Below are 8,471 nucleotides of genomic sequence, written 5' to 3' on the forward strand. Positions count from 1 at the left end.
ACCAAACAGCATGGTACTGGTATTGATGGGTGCAGCAAACCACTATGGCACATGTATACCTATGCAACAAACCTGCACGTTCTGCACATGTATCACAGAACTTAAATTATATTTTAAAAAGTCACATAGACCAATGGAACAGAATGGAGAACTCAGAAATAAACCCAAATACCTACAGCCAACTGATCCTTGACAAAGCAAACGAAAACATAAAGTGAGGAAATAACATGCTTTTCAACAAATGGTGCTGAGATAATTGACTAACCACATGTAGGAGAATGAAACTAGATCTTCATCTCTCACCTTATACAGAAATCAACTCCAGATGGATTAAGGACCTAAATCTAGGACCTAAAACTATAAAAATTCTAGAAGATAACATTGAAACAACCCTTCTAGACATTTGCTTAGGCAAGTATTTCATGTCCAAGAACCCAAAAGCAAATGCAACAAAAACAAAGATAAATAGCTGGGTCTTAATTAAACTAAAGAGCTTTTGCATGGCAAAAGGAACAGTCAGCTGAGTAAACAGACAACCCGCAGAGTGGGAAAAAGTCTTCACAATCTACATATCTGACAAAGGATTAATACCAGAATCTACAATGAACTAAACAAATTAGTAAGAAAAGATCAAACAATCCCATCAAAAAGTGGGCCAAGGACATTAATAGACAATTCTCAAAAGAATATATACAAATGGCCAAAAAACATATGAAAAAATGCTCAACATCACTAATAATCAGGGAAATGCAAATCAAAACTACAATGTGATACCAACTTACTCCTGCAAAAATGGCTATAATCAAAACACAGTAGATTTTGATGTGGATGTGGTGATCTGGGAACACTTCTACAATGCTGGTGGGAATGTAAACTAGTACAGCCACTATAGAAAACAGTGTGGAGATTCCTTAAAGAACTAAAAGTAGAACTACCATTTGATCCAGCAATCCCACTACTGGGTATCTAACCAGAGGAAAAGAAGTCATTATACAAGAAAGGTACTTGTACACACGTTTATAGCAGCACAATTCGCAATTGCAAAATCATGGAACCAATCCAAATGCCCATTAATCAACGAGTGGATAAAGAAACTGTGGTATATATATATATATATATATATACATGATGGAATACTACTCAGCCATAAAAAGGAATGAATTAATGGCATTTGCAGCAATCTGGATGAGACTGGAGACTATTATTCTAAGTGAAGTAACTCAGGAATGGAAAACCAAACACTGTATTTTCTCACTGATATGCGGGAGCTAAGCTATGAGGACACAAAGGCAAAAGAATGATATAATGGACCTTGGGGACTTGCAGGGAAGAGGTGGAGTGAGGTGAGAGACAAAAGACTACAAATGTGGTCCAGTGTATACTGCTCGGTGATGGGTGCACCAAAATCTCATAAATCACCACTAAAGAACCTACTCATGTAACCAAATACTACCTGTACCCCAATAACCTATGGAAAAAAAGGAAATCAATCTGTAGGCTGGCAATGGCCTATGCACTTCCCTGATGAGAAAAGATGGAATGACCAAGCAGATTCCTCCAAGGAATGTGAATATAGAATTTCCAGAGGTTGAGCAGTGGACATCATCAGGTGTTGATAATGAAAAAAAAATGAGATAAAGTCAAGTTTACATCAACCCCAAACTCAAGCTGAAGCAGTAAATGGAAAAGAAATCATAAGTAAGAAGAAGAAACTAGGTGATGCAGAAAGGAGAAGAGAGCAGAAGAACAGAGACTAGGCAAGAATAGTCTGGAGCACTTGGCTCCTGGTGGTTTTCTGCATCCAGTACCCATGAAGTTCAGCCATACCTTGTGTACCATACTGTGACTTTTGTCTTTGATCCTCATAAGGTCATGGTTTCTGTACTAATCTACATGACTGTCTGTAATCTGCAGCAGGATGCCATCTAATCATTCCCTAAATATAAATCTCATGTTTTTGCCTGTGTAGTTTCCTCTCCCAGTTGTATCATCCACCAAAAACCAAGCATCATCAATTGGAATTCTCTCCATCTTGCTTAATGACACTCTACTCATTGCACCAATGTAAAGTAACTCCTCTCTCCCTCCTCTACACTTTCAAAAAACTTTGTTCTTATCATGTGTATGAGTCTTAAACATATTTTTCACTTATATTTCTTGTGAATTATCATATCCTACAGGATACAGACAATATAAACATTTTTATCCACATTATATCTTACACAAAATAAATGTTCAATTAATATTTGATAAATATTTTATGGAATACTTATTCTAATTATTTTATGTATTAATTCTACTTCTCCATACAGCCCTAAGATGATCTCATTTGATCATTATATTTATGAGACAGCACTAGAACTTCATCATTGTACACATATAATCTTATTCAGCCTCATAAGAGCCCTGTGGAATAAGCACTACCGCTATACTATCCCTATTTTTTTTTGGCAAGGAAAGTGAGGCACTGTAGGTTTAAATAATCTGCACAAAGTTACATGTAGGCACTGGAATTTGAACGCAAGAAGTGAGGGGCCAGCATCTATACTTTTTGCCACCATGCCATCATGCTAGGTATGGTTTAGGCTCCAATGAACAATGGTGCTGGTGGGAAACAGACACGCTACTAACACAGCAATTTCATTCTCTTGAGAGAAAATCCGCAAGCCCAAATCAAGTGTAGTCTTTCAAATTCCAGCCTAGGTGCTAATAACCTGGATGATACATGCATGATATAGAAAGCAAAGACAGATAATAATGGACCCTGAAACATAATCCTCTCCTTTAGTACACCAAAGCTGGGGGAGCCCCACTGATCAGCTGCCCTAAAACCCAATTTGATTGGTACTAGAACTGCAGGAGACAATGGCTGAGCAGCATAGATAACTGGAAGGAGTTCTCTATTTTTTTTCTTGACAATAGAGATCAGAATATTATATCCAAATTTCTAACACCTTTTTGTGTTTCCTTGGAAACAGTCCAGCCTAAGGACAAAGACTCAGGAACAGCTGCTGATGGGAAATCAGCCTGCAGAATTGTGTGCACAGAGATCTCTGCCACCCACCCCATGCCAATTTCCAACTCCTCCATCCCTATACCTCAACACACACACACATACATGGTCTGGTGTGAGGATGTTATACAGATGTTTTGACCGTGAGCTTTTCCTTCATTTCCTTCAAGCACTTCACTGAGAGTGTTCAAAACACCACCTAACTGTCAGCACAGTTTTAAAGAATTTGGCTCTGGAGTTGCTATTCTTGGGGTCAATCATAGCTGCCTCTTATCAGCTGTTTAATTTTAAGTTAGTCATTTTGTCCTATCTGGTGTTCAGTTTGGAAGTCTATAAAATGGGAATCGTAATATTTCTTTCCATTGGCCGGTGGGGAGTGGATTTATATTAGCTAATACAAATGAATTTTGTAGAGCTCTTAGCTGGGATAGTAGAGCTTAACATATGACAGCTATTTATTAAATATCTAAAATGTTCTGGCTAATTCTGGCTGTGTAAATCAGAGAAAACTTGTTTAACTTCTCAAACTTAATTATTTATTTGTAAAAGACAGATGACATCTACTGATTATGGTTTGGGGAAGCATTAAATGAAATAACGTAAGTAAAGATTACTTAGTAGGCACTGAATTAATGTTAACTGGTTCTCAAGCTTTCCAGGTATTTGCTCATAGGCAAGACTTCAACGAAGTTAATCTACTCCTAATGACCCTGGTATAAAGTCTCCAGTTTCTCCCCTCTCAGGCAAGAGAAGCACTTTGAATGAGTTTTCCTATTCTTGAGAAGTCTGTCAAACAATTACTGCAATTTATGTAATAGGCTAGTTTTTAAAAATCTGCTGGTTACTAATTGCTCACAAATATTTTGTGTCATCTTCTGAATAACTCAGTGCTACCAAAACTTTTTTAATATAAGCAAAGTAAGCATTTGGTTCAATATTTACTATTTATTTATTTATTTATTTATTTATTTATTTATTTATGTTTTTGAGACAGGGTCTCTCTCTGCAACTCAGGCTGGAGCGCTATGGTGCAATCATAGTTCACTGCAGTCTTGAACTCCTAGGCTCAAGGGATAGTCCCATCTCAGCCTCCTGAGTAGCTGGGACCGCAGGCACATGCCACCACACCCAACTAATTTTTTTTATTCTTTTTTTTTTTTTTTTTTTTTTGTAGAGACAAGGTCTTGCTTTGTTGCCCAGGCTGGTCTCAAACTCCTGGGCTCAAGCTATCCTCCCACCTCAGCCTCCCAAAGTGTTGGGATTAGAGGCATGAGCCACCACCCTGACCAGACATTTACTCTTATGTGTTAATTTCAAACAAAGATTTTTGAACACCCACTTTGCAACCAAAGACGCTAAACAAAAAGCTGACAACTAGTGACTTGAAGACTGAGACAAAAATCAGTGTTTGCTAACCGGGTGATACATCATTCCGCACAGAACTTCAGTGTGTCCTCAGAATATGAGGAAGAGAATTATCACAGTATTAGGTTTTTAGACTTTCTTCATATTAAACAAGCCCTACAATGCCCATTGATCTGCATTTAGACAAGTTCTGAATTTAGACAAGAGCCAGCATCTGGGCGGAAATGAAGAATCATGAAACAGTAAATTATATTCACAAATTGCATAACCTCTGTTCTTTGGGGTTCCAAATGAATACAATGAGCATTTACGTGCCCATCAGATGCTCAAGATAACGATAGATTTCCAGAAATCAGGGAGATTAACAATTTTGTTGAGTAAGACCAGACACAGATTTATAAAGGAAGAAGGATAAAGATCAAGGCTTCAAAAGAATAGAAGAGCACCATAAAAATCCTAAGCCATTTAAAATATTTATTCATTTTCAGCTCTCTCTACAGGCACTTGAAGGTCATCTGAAGGAAAACTAAAATAATCAAACTACATTCTCAGTGTAGGAGCTTTGTAGTATAAAGCAGGATTTAAAAGTGCCAAACACAGATTCGAAGACGAGAGAGTCATATTAAAGCCCTACATAAAGGACAGCAAGGAAGTTACAAGGGGAGGAGGGGGGTGTTAAATGTGAGAATTAATAGTTATGCTTTTTCCTGGCCCCACATACTTTGGCCTCAGAGTTAAATTAATTAGAAGATATAAAAACATAAAAAGGCTTTCTATGTATATGTAACACAGAGAAGAGAGATTTAAAACTCCCATGGGTCAGAAACACAATCATTACAAACTGAATTTCTGGGCCATTGTGGCTCCTCTCTTTCCAGCACAAAGCCTTCTGTCTCTGCCCAAGCCACTGGACTCTACTTTTAATATTCCCTTGGAGATGGAGTGCTCTCTTCTTTCACCATGGCCTGTGTCTATAACCAGGAACTTGTTTCAAAAGTCTGAGCCAATGATGGTTTTTGCATTGACAGATATATGAGAAGCTACTACTCTGCATTAATCAAGATGGCCTTAAGGCTCCCCTCAGCTTGACTAAAGTTTAGACAGGTTTCTTCCTAACTGTAGGCCCTGACCTCCCTTTTCTTAAAGCATTTACTTTTAAAAACCTGTAATTGCAAATTCTTTCTCTGGCCCTTTGAAATGTAAATAAATCTTCTTCCAGTCTTTTACCAGTTTTACAACTCAGGATTGTCTTTCTTAAGGACCTGGGAGCCATCTCTTTGAAATGAAATCATCAAGAAAGACAGTGTTTCTTCCTCCCAGTCTCTGAGGAAGGGTAAGAGCCTAACTTCAAGTGATAAGCATCAATTAGTACACACAATGGCATAATCACACTGACTAACCCTCTCACTAAGTTCCTCTAGGACTCTTCCACCAGCTTACCCCAGTGCTTAAAAACTCCTACCTTTTGTTTCAGCAGAATTGAGTTCAGTCTCTCTCCCCTATTACAATAGTCTTAAATAAAGCCTTTCTTGCTGTTTAACTCTAAACTTAAAATCTGGTACAATTTTTCCTTGATGGAATACAGGGTTTCTAATGAATTGTTGGAGATCTTTTACCTTGTTAGACAATTTCATAATCAAGTAAAACAAAAATATTTAAAGTATACATGCAATAATGCATTTGATGCCAATATTTTAAGTGACAAATAGTTACTTCAATATACTTTGAGAAAAGTGACAATTACAGTGTGGCACAGGACAGTATCCTGTCTAGAAAGCTAAGGCAGTAGAGACATTTTAAAAAGACAGAATGATCAACACAGTCACACGTACAGAGCCGCCCAGTACAATAAGGCAAAAAATGACTGTCAGAGTGACCTTTCCAAAACAATTCTAGTTAAATAGTGTCCTTGAATATAAGGCAAAAGAGAAGAAAAGGAAAAAGGAGGAATAAGCCAGCTTCCCATGACAACTGCTGACATAATGACAAATCTGGTATTTTTGTCTTGGTTCTACAATGTCTGAAGGATAAGACCTGGAATACGAGCCTCACATGGGGAAGCACAGCACATATTTCCAAACGCAGCCTCTAATAATCCAAGTGCCTTCCAAGTCAGTATGCAGAGGACTGAGGCAACAAAACAATTGTTGAAACAGCTGAGTGGGATGGAACTGAACACATCCAGGAGGCAACAACTACATGGGCCGACAGTGAAATTTTAACAGATTACAGAAAGAAAAAGAAACTGCTCAACTCTGTTGCTTATATTTGGTCCACAAAGGAGTTTGATATTCAGGGTGATAACCTGATAACCACTGACCAAACATTGGTAAGAGGGTAAGAGGCAAATGAAGTTTATATTTGGTGGAGAGGTTGTTAGGGAATAGCTGCACTAAATAAGAGTTCAAATTCTTCTTCCCATTGAGTAACCGAACAGGGTCCCAGTGACTCTGTGATGGACAGTGAAAAACTAACATTCTTGAAGAACCAGAAAAAGCAGAAGTTGCAGAGAACTCAAAGGTAATTCTTTTGTAAAAATTAGACCTCAAAATATCATTCCAAAAAGTACTTACTCAGTACAACGGAGAAAAGGTATCTCTACACTGGAGAAACTTGGTGGACAGCCACTTTAACTAAGAGATCAACTTAAAATCACCAATCATGGGACAAAGAGACATCACCTGTTCCCTAATGTAATACACTTAGAAAGACACATCAATTATGTAGTATTCTTGACAAAAATGTTTCACCAGAATCTGATCATGAAGGAACAATCAGATAAATCCATATACAGAAATATTTTGCAAAATAATTGTACTGAACTCTCCAAAATTCTTCAGTGTCATGAAAGCTGTAAAAGGCAGGGAAACTACTTTAGACTTAAAGAGACTAAAAAGACACAACAACTAAAAGCAACATATGAACCTCATTTGGATAGTGCTCTGAAAAACATTATGTGGCAGTGGATAAATCTGAATGTGAACTATGTATTACATAATATATTAATAATACATTTCTTGAGAGTGATCATTATATTGTAGTATATTAAAAAATTCTTTGCTGTCTTCCTCTTGTTCTCGAGCAATTCAGCAAAATTATGCATATGTATATTACAAAGTTTAATTGTAAGCAAGATTCTATTAAAAAACTAGCAAGAGCTTAGAAGAAGAAATCAAGTTTACTAGAAACTGGTCACATACTTACTAAATTAAGTTAGACTCATTTTTGAGAGCTTAGAAAAGATATTTCAGGGAAATCAAATTGAATTTAGTTTTTTATTCAAAATTCAAAAATGCAAGTAATGACTATCCTGATATCATGTAGACAAACTAAAGAAATATGAGTTGAATGGTCATATAGCAAACTGAATTCAATTTTCTCTGAATGGACATAATTCGAAGGGTTGACATTGGCCTGAAAGGAGCTCTCTAGTATTATGATACAGGATTCTAACCATCCATTGAATGAAAACATAGATGGCATGCTAACAAAATTTGTTAATGATAGTGACAAATATTCTCTGTGGTACAGTTTTAAATCCCAAAGGTCTTGATAGACTAAGTGGGCCGAAACCATCAACATGATATTTAACAAAAATTAATCAAAGGTCCATTATTGTCAACTAGTCAATATATATACATATTGGACATATGCCAGAAAGTGGGAATAGAAAAGTAAATAAAAAGGTCATAGAGCTTTTAATCTTGCATGAAAATTATGCATTTAAAACAATTATGATTGAGATGAGTACATAAAGGTAGAAGCTCAGAGACCTTGGATGTGTGTTTCAGGAAGACCTAACCTAAACAGAAAGTCAGGAAAGGCTGCCCACAGGATGCAGTGTATACATGCAAAACTTTAGGGTATTCTGGGAATAAATAATCAAAGAGAAATATGTCATAGCATAGGAGTGAGGGGAAGTAGAGCAGAGGGAAGGGGAATACACCAACATGGCAGAGGGAGTATGTGCAAAGGCCCTAAGGATGTGTAGCTATGGAATATTAACCTGCAAGAGAGATCCAGTGTGGCAAGAACAGAGTGAGTAAAGAGAGGTAACTGCAAAGAAATATAGGATAGAAGAGGCAACCCTAAA

General features: G+C 37.0%; 1 annotated feature.

Moving 5' to 3' along the window:
* Positions 314 to 815: an enhancer, noted in NCBI's record as "NANOG hESC enhancer chr18:58936564-58937065 (GRCh37/hg19 assembly coordinates)". NCBI's record gives its function as "activates a minimal SCP1, AML or CMV promoter by ChIP-STARR-seq in naive H9 embryonic stem cells {active_cell/tissue: H9 hESC(naive)}" and the evidence as "EXISTENCE:reporter gene assay evidence [ECO:0000049][PMID:30033119]".

This window comes from Homo sapiens, chromosome 18, assembly GCF_000001405.40.
Source record: "Homo sapiens chromosome 18, GRCh38.p14 Primary Assembly".
Classification (NCBI taxonomy): domain Eukaryota; kingdom Metazoa; phylum Chordata; class Mammalia; order Primates; family Hominidae; genus Homo; species Homo sapiens.